Consider the following 18,723-nt stretch of genomic DNA (forward strand, 5'->3'; position numbering starts at 1 on the left):
GGCTAGAAGGACCTGGTGCTGACCACACCACACCACAGGGGCTAGAAGGACCTGGTGCCGACACACCACACCATGGGCCAGAAGGACCTGGTGCCGACCACACCACACCACAGGGGATAGAAGGACCTGGTACTGACCACACCACACCACGGGCCAGAAGGACCTGGTGCCGACACACCACACCATGGGCCAGAAGGACCTGGTGCCCACCACACCACACTCATAGGGGCCAGAAGGACCCGGTACTGACCACACCACACCACAGGGGCCAGAAGGACCTGGTACTGACCACACCACACCACAGGGGATAGAAGGACCCAGTACTGACCACACCACACCACAGGGGCTAGAAGGACCTGGTGCCGACCACAGCACACCACAGGGGCTAGAAGGACCTGGTGCCGACCACACCACACTCATAGGGGCCAGAAGGACCCGGTACTGACCACACCACACCACAGGGGCCAGAAGGACCCGGTACTGACCACACCACACTCATAGGGGCCAGAAGGACCTGGGGCTGTGAGCGGAAGGGGCTGGAGAGTTCTGGAACGCTTCCCCGAAGGAGGGGGCCCCTGTGTCACACACAGCACGGAGCTCTGATGCCTTCGTGTGCTCCCGCGGCTGCCAGCCTGGACAGGGCCATGTGCACAGCCTTGGGGCCACCGCCCACTCACAAGCCCAGGCCTGGGGCTCACACAGGACAGAAAATGGAAGCACAGACACTGTACCGAGACCAAAGGAACCGAAAGGAGAAAAGGGCAAACCCACAATGAAAGCTGGAGACGCCCTGGTGGTCTGTTAACAGGAGGACGAGTAGACACAAAGCAAATAACGACTCTGAAGATTGAAAACACCTGTGACCATCTGTGGGTTTTTCAATTTCATGATTGATAATTGATTAGAGCGAGGTAAAATCACTGAGCTATGAAGGACAAACTTTTAAGGAAAAGAAACACGGAGATACGGAACTGATAACATTTCAGTCTTTCATATAGACCAGGCCGGTTTTCACGGTCTTCCCGGGGAGCAGCGCTCCTGAGAATGGAAAAGGAGATGAAAAGCTTTTTCCAGCAGCACATGACGCCCGGGCAGGATTGGAGTCCGGCTCTCACCTGGCACCTGGTCCTTGGGTGTCGTGGAGGCAGGCGGGGTGGGGTGGGGGTGGACTCAGCCTCTTCCTGCTCCTGGGACACAGGAGGGAACCTGGTGCAACCGAAGCCTACACCGCGGGAACCACACACTGAGTTCGGAGCCGGCTAAGAAGTTACCTGCGTGTAGTTGTAAGCGTCAAACGAGCGGGCACAGAGCAGCCAGCACCCTTGAATCTTACGAACAGTCGGACTGGGTCCCAGAGAGGTGACCCAAAGGGGATGGAGCTCAGGGGCTCTCAGGCAGTGGCCCCACAATGGCGCTGGGGCTGCTAAGAGATGCCTTAGGATTCAACTCCTCTCCCGTGTGGACAGGAGAGAGTGGCAGAGACCCAGGTGGGCCCCGTGTACCTGTGTGTTCCCACCCCGCCTGCCACTGACCAGCAAGCAGCCCAGCCCCTTGCCCCATGGGGCGCGTTTCACCGTGGGTCGAGAGGGTGTCGTGGACCAGCACTCCACGCTCCATGGGCGACTGCCACTGCAGTGCTGTTTCTGCCCCTCGGAGAGTTCTCCTGCCCCTTGGGCCTCCCTGCCTCCAGTCTGAGCCGGTTCCAGGCTGTCCTCTACGGAGCTGGCAGAAGGTCCCACTTCCACTCTCCTGGTCCTCCCTGGCTCCTCATCAACCCTCAGCACCAAGCGTGGGCCCCACAGGTTTGGGGAACGCGTGCTGACTGAGGCCGCCCGGGTGGCCGGCGCTGACAAGCTGACCCTGGACACTGTGCGTGACAACCACACAGGCCCCCTGAGGTGAAGGACGAGCTTGGCTGAACGCTGGCCGCCTCGAGCAGAGGCCCAGGGCCCAGAGGTGGCTCAGTCTCAGCAGAACACAGCTGCCCTCAGGAGCTGCCCGCAAAGCAGCCAGCAGATTCAGGCGGGGCGGAGTCAGGGCGGACTTGGTGCCTCCCCAAGGGGTCAGGCAGAGCTGCGTCCCCTCGTGAGGGACAGGAGTGAGGCAGGAGGCTGCCAGCTGCCTGTTCCCATCCTGATCATATTTGCGGAGTGAGCTCAGGCTGTAAATGACCCTCTGACTGCTTGTGTGTGGGGATCCACCCAGGGTCTAATCAGCACATTCACCCCCCACAGCGGGTGTCCCTGGCCCCACATCAAGGCTGAGGGTGTGGGGGGCCACATTCCCTTCCAGTCTGAACTGGACCCTGGGGGTGAGCTGGGTCCCCCCCACAGCTTGGAACAGCGGCAGGAGGCACAGGCAGGCTGGGAACCAGTGTCTGCACGGCGCAGACAGGCACAGGTGGAAGCAGGCAAAGAACGTGGGGCTGGGACAGAGCCCGACTCCATCCTCCCAGGGGCCGGAGGCCACTTATGGGGAACCAGGGCCCCAGGACAGAGCCGGACTCCATCCTCCCAGGGACCGGAGGCCACTATGGAGAGTCAGGGCCCCGGGACAGAGCCGGACTCCATCCTCCCAGGGGCCGGAGGCCACTTATGGGGAACCAGGGCCCCAGGACAGAGCCCGACTCCATCCTCCCAGGGACCAGAGGCCACTATGGAGAGTCAGGGCCCCGGGACAGAGCCGGACTCCATCCTCCCAGGGGCCGGAGGCCACTTATGGGGAACGAGGGCCCCGGGACAGAGCCGGACTCCATCCTCCCAGGGACCAGAGGCCACTATGGAGAGTCAGGGCCCCGGGACAGAGCCGGACTCCATCCTCCCAGGGGCCGGAGGCCACTTATGGGGAACGAGGGCCCCGGGACAGAGCCGGACTCCATCCTCCCAGGGACCAGAGGCCACTATGGAGAGTCAGGGCCCCGGGACAGAGCCGGACTCCATCCTCCCAGGGACCAGAGGCCACTATGGAGAGTCAGGGCCCCGGGACAGAGCCGGACTCCATCCTCCCAGGGGCTGGAGGCCACTTATGGGGAACGAGGGCCCCGGGACAGAGCCGAACTCCATCCTCCCAGGGACCAGAGGCCACTATGGAGAGTCAGGGCCCCGGGACAGAGCCGGACTCCATCCTCCCAGGGACCAGAGGCCACTATGGAGAGTCAGGGCCCCGGGACAGAGCCGGACTCCATCCTCCCAGGGACCAGAGGCCACTATGGAGAGTCAGGGCCCCGGGACAGAGCCGGACTCCATCCTCCCAGGGACCAGAGGCCACTATGGAGAGTCAGGGCCCCGGGACAGAGCCGGACTCCATCCTCCCAGGGACCAGAGGCCACTATGGGGAACGAGGGCCCCGGGACAGAGCCGGACTCCATCCTCCCAGGGGCCGGAGGCCACTTATGGGGAAACAGGGCCCCAGGACAGAGCCCGACTCCATCCTCCCAGGGGCCGGAGGCCACTTATGGGGAACGAGGGCCCCGGGACAGAGCCAGACTCCATCCTCCCAGGGACCAGAGGCCACTATGGAGAGTCAGGGCCCCGGGACAGAGCCGGACTCCATCCTCCCAGGGGCTGGAGGCCACTTATGGGGAACGAGGGCCCCGGGACAGAGCCGGACTCCATCCTCCCAGGGGCTGGAGGCCACTTATGGGGAAACAGGGCCCCAGGACAGAGCCCGACTCCATCCTCCCAGGGGCCGGAGGCCACTTATGGGGAACGAGGGCCCCGGGACAGAGCCAGACTCCATCCTCCCAGGGACCAGAGGCCACTATGGAGAGTCAGGGCCCCGGGACAGAGCCGGACTCCATCCTCCCAGGGACCAGAGGCCACTTATGGGGAAACAGGGCCCCAGGACAGAGCCGGATTCCATCCTCCCAGGGGCTGGAGGCCACTTATGGGGAACGAGGGCCCCGGGACAGAGCCGGACTCCATCCTCCCAGGGACCAGAGGCCACTATGGAGAGTCAGGGCCCCGGGACAGAGCCGGACTCCATCCTCCCAGGGACCAGAGGCCACTATGGAGAGTCAGGGCCCCGGGACAGAGCCGGACTCCATCCTCCCAGGGGCCAGAGGCCACTTATGGGGAAACAGGGCCCCAGGACAGAGCCCGACTCCATCCTCCCAGGGGCCGGAGGCCACTTATGGGGAACAAGGGCCCCGGGACAGAGCCGGACTCCATCCTCCCAGGGACCAGAGGCCACTATGGAGAGTCAGGGCCCCGGGACAGAGCCGGACTCCATCCTCCCAGGGACCAGAGGCCACTATGGAGAGTCAGGGCCCCGGGACAGAGCCGGACTCCATCCTCCCAGGGACCAGAGGCCACTATGGAGAGTCAGGGCCCCGGGACAGAGCCGGACTCCATCCTCCCAGGGACCAGAGGCCACTATGGAGAGTCAGGGCCCCGGGACAGAGCCGAACTCCATCCTCCCAGGGACCAGAGGCCACTATGGAGAGTCAGGGCCCCGGGACAGAGCCGGATTCCATCCTCCCAGGGGCTGGAGGCCACTTATGGGGAACGAGGGCCCCGGGACAGAGCCGAACTCCATCCTCCCAGGGGCCGGAGGCCACCGTCAGGGAGTCAGGGCCCCAGGTGGCCCCAGGCAGGGAGGCCGGAAGACAGTCCTGCTGACCCGCAGTGCCCACCTCGAAGGCCACGGCAGGGGAGAAACTTAACGTAAGCCAAACGCTGGCCCACTGAACAAAGGGAGGCAGAGGAACACTGGGAAACGTATTCTCTATTAGAAGGAAAGATCGAGGACACCCATGAACGGAGGCCCGAAAGCAAGAGGAAAGGGGCTTACAGGCCGCGAAGTCGGAACCTGCGTGAATAAGGACAGCTGCGGCGCCGCCCCGACACGGACCGTGTTTGCATCCGTGACTTTAAAACGGCTTGAGGATGGAACCCCATGAACAGTAACACCCCCCACCCACCGGAGTATTCAGGAGTGACTGAGGTCGGGTCTGGGGTTGCTTCGAAAGACTCCGGGTGCTCAGTGTTGGGAGGGGGGTGAGTACCGTTATGTGACAGTGGTCTCTACCCCTTGGTGTACTTAACATTTTCAACAAAAAAAAACTTTTCTTTGTTTAAAAGCACTCATGGGTATCTGGAACGCAGCTACAGTGGGGAGCGAGCAACGCCCCAATCCTCAGGCTCTCCGGGGGGTCTGGGGTGCAACTCGAAACCCACCGCTGGTGACTCCCACTTCTGGTCACCGTGAAAGAGCTGGACCACTCTCCCTCCTCAGACAACTAGAAAATCACACAGAATCTGTGAAATGGAGGTGTTCAGGCACTGGACGCAGGGCAGGACGGTGACGCCCGAGAGGAGAAGCCGGCTGATTCCAGTCTGGGACCGAGGGGGGTGGAACGAGGCCTCAGAACAGCCTCGTTTTCACGCTGCCCATGTCACACACGAGCATGGAAACGTACGCTCTAGTACTTCCTGCGGTTTCTGTCTTCTCATCACCGGGGTTTGGTGCCCAGCATTTCCGCTCCATCCCGACCGATGTGCACTCCTGTTTTCCGTTTCCCAAGCTCCTCCTGCCCTGGGGCTTGGCTGGAGGTTCCCACAGGTGGTGGCAGTGGGTGGTCACCATGCGACCCGGGCCACCTCTGGTTACGTGGAGGGCATCAGGTGTTTTCCGTTGCTCCCCGAGTAATTCCGTAATTTTAAAAAAGCACGTGCTGTTTGTACCTAAAATCCTTTATTTCTATAAAAACAAGCCACGCGTGGCCTTTCCTTTCCCGGCTCCCAGGGCTGAACTCCCCTGCCTCCTCCTGGGGTCCCTTCTGCTTCTCCCCCAGGCTGCGAGTCTGTGAGTCCCATCTCACACCTTCCTCAGTTTGCTTCCTAATTTTAGGGACTGGCTCCAGCAAAGCCCCGAGGAAGGTTTTATCGGAGATGGATATGTTGAATCTGAATATGAAAAGGTTGTTATATCTCTGCACGTGATTGACACTTTGGTGAGGCATAAAATTCTTAGTTCAAAATCCTTTCTGTGAGAAATCTGAAACTAGTGTCCTGGTGTCTCCTGGATTCCGCTGCTGTGAGTGAGGAATTCCGGGCTCTTCGATTCCTGCTCCTTGGTGTTCCTCCCTCTGACTGTGCTTGGGCTCTGAAGCATCCCGACCGTGAACCCGGATGCAGGTCTCATTTCCTGCACGCAACACCAGGTGAGCCCTTCTAATCAGGTCACTCGTACGTTTTGGTTCTAGGAAATTTTTCTGTATTTTTCTTAGTTAATTTACTTCCTTCTATTTTTTAAAAAATCTGATTTTGCTATGTTGGACCAGTTGAAGCTGGGAGTGAAGTTTCTCAGAATGCCCTTCTCAGTACGAATCCAGTTGAGTCTAGAGACAAGGAGGAAGACGCCATTGCTCCCACATGTCAAGGGCCTGGTGAGTCTTCTCCACAACCCCAGCAATCAGCAGCAGCCCCACCCACTTCCCAATAATCCATGGGCCAAAGAGGAAGTCTCAAAAGAAATCTAAAATGTATTGACCAAAATGAAAATGGAAGTACATTGAAAACCTGTACAATGCGGCTGATGTAGTATGTAAAGGGAAGTTGCTGGCTCTACATGCTTACATTAAAAGAGAAGAGAGGTCTGAGGACAAAAAACTCAGCTTCCACATTAGAAAAACCACAAAGGAAGAGCAAAATGACACCCCAAAGCAAGCAGAAAAAAGAAACAATCAGGCAGAAATGAATGAAATTGAAAACAGAAAAACAATAGAGGAAAGTCAAACCAAGAGCTGGCTCTTTGAAGAGATTAATAAAATAGATAATAAACCAAGACTGATAAAAAAGTGAGAGGACCCAAATAACTAATACCTAAAATGAAAGGGGATATTACTACAGGCCTCACAGATACTAAACGCATCACAGAGAATACTATCAAATAACCCTAAACACACAAACTGGATAATTTAGAGCAAGTGGATCAATTCCTCAAAAATCGCAAGCTGCCAGAGCTGTAAGTTGCATTATACCAAGACGAAATAGAGTCTGAACAGTCCTGTAACTTTTAGGTATACGTTTCTGTAAGTTAGCAGTGGACAATTAGAAACCAAAATTAAACACACAGTAGCATGTATAATTGCCTAAAACAAATACTTAGGTATAAATCTAACAAATGTACAGGACTTGTACACTAAAAACTACAACATGTGAATGAAGGAAATCGAGGAAAATTTCAGTGGAGGACGGGACAAATAGTGAATTGGAAAACTCTATAGTAAAGATGTCAACTCTATACAAATTGATTTGTAAGTTTAACTCACTTGCTATGAAAATCTCAGCTAGATTCTTTGTAAATATAGGCAAGCTGATTCTAAAATTTATATACAGAGGCAGAAATACTAGAATAGCCAAAAACAAGTTAGAGGAAACACATTAACCAATTTTAAGACCTGGTCATCAAGATGATGTTACTGGTGGAGGGACAGACACACAGGTCAATGGACTAGAACAAAGTCCAGGAACAGACAGACCCACACTCTGTGGTCAGATGGTTTTTTGACAAGGCCCAGAAGCAACCAGTGGAAGAAGGATTTTCAGCAAAATCAGTGTAGAAACATGTGGGCATTCATAAGCCAAAACGAACAAACAAAACCCTTGATTTAAACCTCACACTAACTCAGCCTACAAGGACATAGCTCTAAATGTAAAATGTAAAACTATAAAACTTTTAGAAGAAAATCCTTATGTCCTAGGGTTAGGTGAAGTAGTCTTGGGTGTTGACACTCAAAGCATATTAAAAAAATACATCAAAAAATATCAATTAATTGGACTTCATCAAAATTAGAAACTTTTGTTCTGTGAAAAATTCTACGTGGATGAAAAGGGAAGCCCCCACGTAGAAAAGGCTGTTTTTCCTCTGCTCTCCCACCACAATGTGCGGGTCTGTTCTCCATACACCAAGCAAACCATCAGTTCTGGAGTAGACACCAGTCAGGCATCCTCTAACTCAATCCCAACACCATCTACCTGGAGACAGCCTCAGACCCCCCCAGGTGAGGGCTCAGTCCCCGTGACCCCTTCTCTTCAACTTCCAATGCCAACTGAAGTCCCAGGCTGTTTGACCCTCCAGCTATAAATCGGGGTTCCCACAACCTCTTCCTTGGATTCAGTTAATTTTCTAGAGGGACCCACAGAATTCAGGGAAACACTTACTTACACCTACCAGTTTATTAAAAAGAATGTTATTCAAGGATACAGATGAAGAGATGACGGGGAAAGGTATGGGGGAAGTGGTGTAGACGGTCTAGGTCCTCTTGGGGCCCAACACCCTCCAGGACCCTGCATGTGTTCAGCCATCTGGAAGTCCCCGAGGCTCGTCCCTTTGGGTTACTGTACGAGTTCATGATGTAGGTGTGGTTGCGTAGCTCGTGGGCCATTGCTGATCACCCTAAGCCTCAACCCCTTTCCCTCCCCGGAGGTTTGGGGGTGGGGCTCAAAGTTCCAACCCTCTGAGCACATGGCTGGTTCCCCTGGCAACCAGCCCCCCTCATCCTGCGGTATCTAGGGGTGTTCCAAAAATGCCTCATTAACATAAACTCAGGTGTGTTTGAAGGAACTTGTAAACAAAAGACTCTTCCAGCTTTATCTTTCAGAATTTACTTCAGAAACCAAGGACAAAAGGCTCAATACTTTAAAAGATATTCTTATTGCTCTAGTTACTTAGGAAATAATTACAGGGGGTCAGAGTCAGGGATCCTGGATAAAACGCCAAATCCATGATCCTAGTTCCAGCCACAGATCAGGAGGAAATGAGGTAGGCCCTTTAGCAATACAGGGTTTAGGGTGACCCACTCCCCATGCAGCCGAAAATCCACGTATAACCTTGGACTCCCCCAAAACTTAAGCACTGAGAAACAAAAGTGGCTCAGAGGAGTCGGCGCCACGCGAGGTATTCACCAGCCCCAGCGGAGCTGCGAGGGTGAGACCTGCATCATGCCTCCCCCGCCGCACCCATGTGGGGCCAACTGTTTAAAGGCATTTGTCTTCCTTTCCTTCCCTGTTGTTTCCAGGCTGGCTGAAAAATCACAAGAAATGTTACACAAGTTAGACAATGTGACCTTCACCCATTATCTTCATGCTCCTGGAATCTGTGATGCAAAGAACCATCTACAGCCAGTCAATAGCTTATGTTATTTTAATGAACCAGTGTGGGAACTTGCCCCTTCTTTCTTTCTTTCAAACCCACTGTAACTGCTGCTAACTGGAGCATATGTTCGGAGCCACCTGAATCTACGTCCCCCAGGATGCCGTCCTCACACGTGGCCCAAATAAACCCTCCACATGTACTAACTTTGCCTCAGCATCTTTCTTTAGGTTGACATGGCTGAGAGCCTACTGTTGACCGGATGCCTTACCAATAACATAAACAGGTGATCAACATTGTCCTGTACATTCTGTACGTTTTGTGTATTATATACCGTATTCTTACAATGAAGTAAGCTGGAGAAAAGAAAGTGTTACTAAGAAAATCATAAGGAAGAGAAAACACATTGACTATTCATTAAATGGAAGTGGATCATCACAAAGGCCTCCAACCTTCTCACCTCCGTGGTGATGGGCCGAGCGGGTGGAGGAGCCTCCATCTTTCTCACCTCCGTGGTGATGGGCCAAGCGGGTGGAGGAGCCTCCATCCTTCTCACCTCCATGGTGATGGGCCAAGCGGGTGGAGGAGCCTCCATCCTTCTCACCTCTGTGGTGATGGGCCGAGCGGGTGGAGGAGCCTCCATCCTTCTCACCTCTGTGGTGATGGGCCGAGCGGGCCGAGGAAGGAGGGTTCTTGCTGTCCCGGGTGTCAGTTCATCTGCGACTTTTTTCAAATTGTCATAAATCTCCAAAACATTTTCCAATATATTTATTTTTAAAACTCGTGTGTAAGTGGACTCCCAGTTCACACTCATGTTATTCAAGGATCAAATGTACTTGCAAGTTTTATCTCCAATGGAGGTCTTATGTCCAGAAGAAAACGCTCAGATTCAACAACAAAACCAGTAATGTAATTGGAAAATGAGCCCACAAAAGGGCCTCACGGAGATCCTCTTCCCTCCCGCCACGTGAATGGGATCAGAGCCCACGAAAGGGCCTCACAGAGAGCCTTGTCCCTCCCACCACGTGAGGACACGGTGAGAACCAGGAATCAGGCCTCACAGAGACCAAATCTGGTGCCTTGATCTGGGACTCCAGCTTCCAAAACGGTGGAAACAGATGTTTGTAGTTTATAAGCCACCCAGTTTATGGTATTTTTGTCCTAGCAGCCTGGACAGACTAGGACAGGTCAGGAGAAAATGTGACTCTAAAGGCAGTTTCTCCGGGTGATGGGACCCTCGATGTCCTGATTGTCGTGTTGATCTGGAAACATGGGGACGTCTCACAGAACTCCCTCCACCAAGAATAAGTGAACTGCATGGGGTCTGTGGCTGCCACATCGTATCCACGTGGAGTTTCTGGTTTGGGTCCTTGTTCTCTGGTTATATAAGATGTTAGCAGCTGGGGGTGGAGGAGATGGGGGGTACATAGGAACTCTCTGTGCTATTAATATTTCTGCAATTTTTTGGCTGGGCGCAGTGGCTCACACCTGTAATCCCAGCACTTCGGGAGGCCGAGGCAGATGGATCACCTGAGGCCAGGAGTTCGAGACCAGCCTGCCCAACATGCTGAAACCTGGTCTCTACAAAAACACGAAAATTAGCCAGGCATGATGGCACGTGGCTGTAATCCCAGCTACTCGGGAGGCTGGGGCAGGAGAATTGCTTGAACCCAGAAGGCGGAGGTTGCAGTGAGCCGAGATCACGCCATTGCACTCCAGTCTGGGCGACAGAGCGAGACTCCATCTCAAAATATATATATGTTTTAGTTCTGCAATTTTTATGTGAGTCTAAAATTATTTCAAAATACAACCTTTTTTAATTGGGTAGACTTTGTCAAAATGACTCTACCATCCTGGGGGGAAGCAGTTTTTCATGCACACTTCGCCAGAAGCCTGACCTCCACGTGGACTCAGTGTGACACATTCTCAGAGTCCATTTTAAACACTCGGGCACGCGTTAGAGACACACATTCCCAGCCCCACACAGAACCATGAGATCAGAAACTACGAAGAGTGGGTCTCATTTTTCTCACTTCTCATTCCTGCCGACCTGTGGCAGGTGCCGTTCAGATGCTGGGGGAAGGAAAGGAACAGCTCAGCAATGGTGACAGGATGGGCGCCGCCAGGAACAGTCGCACAGCAGATGCTCCGTGGGGGCAGCGGCTCCCGTTATGCAGCCCTAGAGCGGGCAGGGGCACCAGGCAGGGCAGGGGCCCCGGGGCGGAGGAGGGTGTCCAAGTGCTGAGGACTGAACTGTGTGCCTCAGATTAACGGGTTGAAGCCCTAACTCCCAATGTGACTGTATTTGGAGATGGGCTTTTAAGGAGGTAGCTAAGGTTACGTGAGTCCCAAAGGTGGGGCCCTGGACTGTTGTCCTTATAAGAAGAGGAAGAGACACCAGCAGTGAGCACACAGGGAGAGGCCACATGAGCACACAGAAGAGAGGCCATATGATCACGCAGGGGAGAGGCCACGTGAGGACGTGGGGGAGGGGAGAGGCCACGTGAGCACACAGGAGAGAGGCCATATGATCACGCAGGGGAGAGGCCACGTGAGCACACGGGGGAGAGATCATGTGAGCACATGGGGGAGAGGCCACGTGAGGACGTGGGGGAGGGGAGAGGCCACGTGAGCACACAGAAGAGAGGCCATATGATCACGCAGGGGAGAGGCCACATGAGGACGTGGGGGAGGGGAGAGGCCACGTGAGCACACAGGAGGCCATATGATCACGCAGGGGAGAGGCCACGTGAGCACACGGGGGAGAGGCCATGTGAGGATGTGGGGGAGAGGCCACGTGAGCACACGGGGAGAGGCCACAGAAGGACGCAGGGAGAGGCCACGTGATTATGCAGGGGAGAGGCCATGTGAGCACACAGGGAGAGGCCACAGGAGGACGCAGGGAGAGGCCACAGGAGGATGCAGGGAGAGACCACGTGATTATGCAGGGGAGAGGCCACAGGAGGACGCAGGGAGAGGCCACAGGAGGATGCAGGGAGAGACCACGTGATTATGCAGGGGAGAGGCCATGTGAGCACACAGGGAGAGGCTACAGGGTCGTGCAGGGAAAGGGTGCCATCTGCAAGCCACAGAGAGGCATGAGGAGGAACCCACCCTGCCAGCAGCCTGAGCTTGGACCTCCAGACCCAAGAACTTTAAGAACACAAATGTCTGTTGTTTAAGCTGCCCTGTCTGTAGTGTTCCTTTATGGGGGCCTGAGCTGGGACGGCGGGGAAGCAGGGATCCCCCCAGGAGACGTGCAGGGCAGCAGGGGTCCGCGTCACACCACTGTCTGCCTTCCCTTCTTGGTGAGTGCGGCCCACCCCGGGTAGCTAGAGCAGGAGCATGCATCTCAGCCCTGTCCACTTCCTTCAAGCTGCCAGGACCTCTGAGTCCCCTTCGTGGCCCTGCTGGGACCCCCTCCCTCGAGTTTCCAGAAGGGCCCAAGGCAACCTGGGAAGCCGGGTGGCGGTTCTGCCCATGCCTCCCCTTTGGGCCTCCCTGGAATCAGGAGATGCAGCCCCCTGGGGAAGGGACAGAAGGTACAAAGAGGGCCTGTCTCAGACAGGGGCGCTTTCAGGCAGGCACCACCCCAGGCCACTGGCATAGACAACTTTCACCTTTCGGTTTGTTTAGAATTAGCAGTGTTAATTTTACACAGCTCTGATTTAACGTTGTATGTGGTGACTATCCCATCAGGCATGTCAAACAGACACATCAAAAGTCAAATCAAAATATGCCACTTCCCACATCACAAATGTGACTCAGACAATGAACATAAAACTTGACTTGGTGGCTGAGTTACCTTATTAAAATAGTTGGAAGTGATTTCTGTTAATGTAACAGCTGAGAAATGGTTTAAATGAGATCTCTTCTTTGAACTTCACACGTTAATTCCCACTAACTTGCTAAAGGAAAATTCTATCTAAGAGGACCTACCTGATTTATTTGTTATGACTGGGTCTTCATGTTACCCCTCGATTCGGAACATGAATTTCTGGTTCAAACTGTGCCTCCTCCACTTCAATTACATCCTTGGTGTTTAGTGGCACCGTTTTCACGTGACTCCTGCTACCCAAGAATCAAAAGCAGCAGAAGCCCGTGCTCAGCAGGTCCTGAGGCTGCGGCGACCCCACGCCTCCCACTGCCCTAATACGCGGGACTGAATCTCCAAAGAGGAAAACCAAAATCAGGAGCCCAGGGTTGATCGGAGGCCAAAAGCTTCCACAATGAATATGGAATTTTTACTTCCCAGTTAAGAAGAAGAGAGGCCTTACGAGGTTTTCCATTTCCCTGCCCCGTGAGACAGCTGGCATTCTTTAAGAAAAGCATTAAAAATCATCGTGTATTCCAGGAAAGTGTGTGTCCCTGAAGAAGTGGCACATCCCAGAATCTCTGAACTCTGGTGATGGGAGGACCCAGGAGGGCTCCTCAGGAGGGTCCGGGCCTGTTCTCTGTGCACTCCAAGTGCTGAGTGCCTGGGATCAAAGCCCTCATGCTGTCTTCAGGAGCCCTGCTCAGAAACCTGACACCGGGCCAGGAGCTCAGGGCGAGGGACTCTGCACACCCTTTCAACGTGGGGGACCCTCTCCGCTTCCCAGCCAGGAAGCTGCACCAGACACTCACAAAGGTGACTTTGTGCCCGTGAACTCGGCTGCAGCCCACAGTTTGGGCTTGCTGCCGCCGGTGCAGACAGGAAATAGCTGCTCTGCGGCAGCCCGACCCCGTGGCCACAGAGCAGCCTCTGTTCCTTGGTAATCGTCAACATCTGGCAGGCACCTCCACGCCCCTCCGCCCCCACCATACGCTGCTGGCTGGAGGCTCCCGTGCAATGCCAGGTGTGTTGGGAGAGGACAGGCTATACCCACAAGCTGGGCTGGAAGTAAGGAAATCGCTTTAAAAGCAGGAAAACAAATTCGCTTCCCCACGCTTTAACCACTGGTACCTGTAAGAGGCCATCAATGGAATATTCATCTTCTCCAAATGTAAAAAGTAAATCTAAATGGAAGAAGGTCTTTTTCTTCCCCCGCTTTTCCGCGTGACACAGGATGTTATGGAATAGAACTTGAAAGCTGGTGAAGCAGATTTGATGCGGAAAGCAAAGCTCATCAAGGAACCCTGATCACTGTGAACTCACTTAATGGAATAGTTGATGCCGTCATCATAAACAGCACCAACGTTAGAAGCCAGTGATCCTTATACTAAGGTTTCAGTTTTACTGCAGATCAAAATTACATTTTCAAAATTCAGAAAGCATTTCATTACATGGTGCGATCACAAGAAATCCGTAATGTTGGGGCGTATTACTCCCACAACCTCGCTATTAGAGGTGGACGTCCTGGCACCCCTCATGGGGTGCAGAGCACCTTTCTCCTCTTGGACTGAGGTGTGCAGCTGGCTGCCCCCGCTCCTCCCTGTCCCACTAACCTGACCATACCCCCACGAGGCAGAGTGCCTTTCTCCTGCCCTGGAGTGGGGCTGACACAGTCTCGAACACCATAATCCAGGATGTTGAAATCCTGAAAGATCAAAATCCCTAAAGTCTAAAATCCCCCAAATCACAATCCTGAAAAATGTAGTTCTTGAAAAAATAATTTTAAAAATTCTTTACCCCATTTACCCTAATATAGTTATTACACTTTGCATGCCTTTATCAAAATATCTCATGTGCTCCATAATTATATACACCTACTATGTGTCCATAAAAATTTAAAAAATTCTTTATCTCAAATGTTAGCGAGAAAAAGGAAAAAATAAATAATGATTTGAAAGACATTTGCTTACAATTTTAAAAAGAAGACTTATTTGAGAAATGTACAAAAACATGACAGCATGCTTCATAGGCCACTTTACACAATAAAACAGACAATACTAACACACACATTTTTACAAGCATAAACACTCAAGTACACTAATGACAGTCACATGGGTATAACGGTTAATGAGCAGATGAACCGTATTCATAAAGAAATAGCTCCTGTCATCTGAAATATTCTGTTGGACAACCTAAGTCTTTGGACAAGATCCATCAAAAACCATGATGGTTGTATATGTGTGGTTTTATTTCTGAGATCTCTATTCTGTTCTGTTGGCCTATGTGTCTGTTTTTGTACCAGTACCATGCTGTTTTGGTTACTGTAGACTTGTAGTATAGTTTGAAGTCAGGGAGTGTGATGTCTCCAGCTTTGTTCTTTTTGCTTAGGACTGTCTTGGTTATACAGGCTCTTTTTCAGTTCTACATGAATTTTAAAGTAGTTTTTTCTAATTCTGTGAGGAATGTCAATGGTAATTTAATGGGAATAGCATTGAATCTATAAGTTACTTTGGGCAGTATGGCCATTTTCACGATATTGATTCTTCCTATCCATGAGCATGGAATATTTTTCCATTTGTTTGTGTCCTCTCTTATTTCCTTGAGCAGTGGTTTGTAGTTCTCCTTGAAGAGGTCCTTCACCTCCCTTGTTAGCTGTATTCCTAGGTATTTTATTCTCTTTGTAGCAATTGTGAATGGAAGTTCATTCATGATTTAGCTCTCTGCTTGTCTACTGTTGGTGTATAGGAATGCTTGTGATTTTTGCACATTGATTTTGTATCCTGAGACTTTGCTGAAGTTGCTTATCAGCTTAAGGAGCTTTTGGGCTAAGATGATGAAGTTTTCTAAATATAGGATCATGTTGTCTGCAAACAGAGCTTCGACAAACCTGACAAAAACAAGTAATGGGGAAAGGATTCCCTGTTTAATAAATGGTGCAGGGAAAACTGGCTAGCCATATGCAGAAAACTGAAACTGGAGCCCTTCTTTACACCTTATACAAAAATTAACTCAAGATGGATTAAAGACTTAAACGTAAAACCCAAAACTACAAAAACCCTACAAGAAACTCTAGGCAATACCATTCGGGACATAGGCATGGGAAAATATTACATGACAAAAACATCAAAAGCAATTACAACAAAAGCAAAATTGACAAATGGGACCTAATTAAACTAAAGAGCTTCTGCACAGCAAAAGAAACTACACCATCAGAGTGAACAGACAAGCTATGGAATGGGGGAAAATTTTTGCAATCTGTCCATCTGACAAAGGTCTAATATCTGGAATCTACAAGGAACTTAACTTTACAAGAAAAAACAAACAACCCATCAAAAAGTGGGCAAAGGACATGAACAGACACTTCTCAAAAGAAGACATTTAGGCAGCAACAAACATATGATAAAAAGCTCAACATCACTGATCATCAGAGAATTGAAAACCAAAACCACAATGAGATACCACCTCAAGCCAGTCAGAATGGCGATTTTTTAAAAATCAAGAAACAACAGATGCTGGCAAGGCTGTGGAGAAGTAGGGATGCTTTTACACTGTTGGTGGGAATGTAAATTAGTCCAACCATTGTGTAAGACAGTGTGGTGATTCCTCAAGGATCTACAACCAGAAATGCCATTTGACCCAGCAATCCTACTACTGGTACATACCCAAAGGAATACAGATCATTCTATTATAAAGGTACATGCACGCGTATGTTCACTGCAGCACCATTCACAATAGCAAAGACATGTAATCAACCCAAATGCCCATCAATGATAGACTGGATAAAGAAAATGTGGTATACCATGGAATATTATGTAGTCATAAAAATGAATGAGATCATGTACTTTGCAGGGACATAGATGGAGGTGGAAGCCATTATCCTCAGCAAACCAAAACAGGAACAGAAACCCAAACACTGCATGTTCTCACTCATAAGTGGGAGCTGAACAATGAGAACATATGGACACGGGGGGAACAACACACACTACGGCCTGTTGTGGAGGTGGGGGAAGGGAGGGCATCAGGAAAAATAGCTAATGCATGCAGGGCTTAATACCTAGGTGGTGGGTTGATGGGTGCAGCAAACCACCATGGCACAGGTTTGCCTATGTAACAAATGTACCCCCCATTCTGCACATGTATTCTGGAACTAAAAAAAAAAAAAAAAAAAAAGATGGTTACCACCACATACACATTCACCCCAAAAGCCAAGATCTCAAGAAATTTCATCTTTCATAAATGCAGATGTACAAAAAGGACATCTTTTCATTTACTAAGGAAGTTTCAACGTTTTTACGGACATGCACAATGCTTACAAAGTCAACATTGTTGATAGTGCACCTTTGTGGAGTCGAATTTGCAAAAAGATGCATAAATGAATTACAGCTCTGTAAAAGAAATGATGCAAAGGTGAAACACAAGCATAGTGATTGTAAAACATAATGCTGACAATTTAAAATAGAAAAAACAAACAAAAATAGAAAAAATTACAAACAATAAAAAACTAAACAGAAAATCTGATTTATGAAAAAGTATACCACAGGAGTATATTACGGGCAATTGCACAGAAACAGTCCCTAAGAGCTGGCTGACTTTCACAATCATTAAGTGTATTTTGAAGGTTTGCATCACAATGGATAACCGCTTTCTTTTAAGACATGGCTTCCTTGGAGAATGAGCTCACATTCATCTTCTCTGCGGCACTGCTCTTTTTGAAACTCCTCTGTGATTTGACACACACCAGGATAAGCCTTCTCCTTACATTTTCCCGTCTTCCATGCTGTGCTTCTGTGTTGTTCTGGGTACGTGGATATGCATTCTGCATGCCCTCTTGTACAGACCCCAGGTTTAATACAAACCATACTGGTGATGGAACAGAACACTGTTGTGTAAGTGTCTTCTTATCCTACTATACACACAATTATTTTGAAGCAGTCAGTCACTTTGCTGGTTTCTTTGGGCAAATGTGGCCATGATTCCCTAAAAGCTCTCAGTGTGTGATCAGCTGGGAGGAACGCCAACGCAGGCAGTGTCATCAGCAGGAACGCCAACACAGGCAAGAGACTCGCCATCGTAGGCAAGAGACTCAACTCATTTTTAAACGGAAGTTTCTGTCACTGCCATATCACGTGGCCAAGCCACTCATCTGGATTTTGCACCAAATGCATTGGACTGAATGGAAAAAACAAACTTTATTGGTAACAACTTGAAATTCACTTACAGAAGACTTGATGGCACCTAATTCCAAATCCATCATTATAGTTTGGGGATTCAGTTAGATGCTAGGAATTTTAGATTTGGGGATTTTGATCTTTAGGGATTTCAAATTTCAGAATTACAGCACTGGAGATTCTGTCTTCCAGGACTGTGACAGGCACTGGTTGAAGCCCTAACCCCCTATTTGAGGTATTGTGGAAATGGGGCCTCTGGGAGATGATTAGATTTCACGTGAGGGTGGGGCTCTACTGGGATCAGTGTCTTTATAATAAGAGACACCACAGAGCCTGCTCTCTCTCCCTCTGTCTCTGCCATATCAGGGTTCAGAGAAAAGGTGGGTGTCTGCAAGCCAGGAAGAGCCACATCAGAAAGCAAGCCCTGCCAGGTCTTGATCTAAGACTTTCCAGCTTCCAGAATTGTGAGAAAATAAATTCTGTTGTTTAAGCCACCTAGCCTCTGGCATTTTGTTATGGCAGCCTGAGCTGATTAAGATAATAATCCAGATCGTAGATGAAAATTAACTAAAAAATGGATTGTAGATCTGTATGTAAAACCCAAAACTATACACTTTTTAGAAGAAAACAGGAGGAAAACTTTTG

At 50.8% G+C, this 18,723-nt stretch overlaps 1 protein-coding gene across 17 annotated transcripts in view, besides 3 other annotated features; it reads right to left on the reverse strand.

The window, feature by feature from the left end:
• Positions 1 to 18,723, reverse strand: part of QTGAL (queuosine-tRNA galactosyltransferase) — a 109,622-nt gene that overhangs the window by 30,288 nt on the left and 60,611 nt on the right. The gene's annotated exons all lie outside the window — the stretch shown is intronic.
• Positions 5,648 to 6,847: an enhancer, noted in NCBI's record as "CDK7 strongly-dependent group 2 enhancer chr17:80935960-80937159 (GRCh37/hg19 assembly coordinates)". NCBI's record gives its function as "activates an origin of replication core promoter dependent on BRD2, BRD4, P300/CBP, MED14 and CDK7 cofactors, with strong dependence on CDK7, by STARR-seq in HCT116 cells {active_cell/tissue: HCT116}" and the evidence as "EXISTENCE:reporter gene assay evidence [ECO:0000049][PMID:35650434]".
• Positions 11,771 to 12,272: an enhancer, noted in NCBI's record as "H3K4me1 hESC enhancer chr17:80942083-80942584 (GRCh37/hg19 assembly coordinates)". NCBI's record gives its function as "activates a minimal SCP1, AML or CMV promoter by ChIP-STARR-seq in naive H9 embryonic stem cells {active_cell/tissue: H9 hESC(naive)}" and the evidence as "EXISTENCE:reporter gene assay evidence [ECO:0000049][PMID:30033119]".
• Positions 13,677 to 13,971: an enhancer, noted in NCBI's record as "tiled region #7018; K562 Activating non-DNase unmatched - State 23:Low". NCBI's record gives its function as "activates a minimal TATA promoter and a strong SV40 promoter by Sharpr-MPRA in K562 cells {active_cell/tissue: K562}" and the evidence as "EXISTENCE:reporter gene assay evidence [ECO:0000049][PMID:27701403]".

This window comes from Homo sapiens, chromosome 17, assembly GCF_000001405.40.
Source record: "Homo sapiens chromosome 17, GRCh38.p14 Primary Assembly".
Classification (NCBI taxonomy): Eukaryota; Metazoa; Chordata; class Mammalia; order Primates; family Hominidae; genus Homo; species Homo sapiens.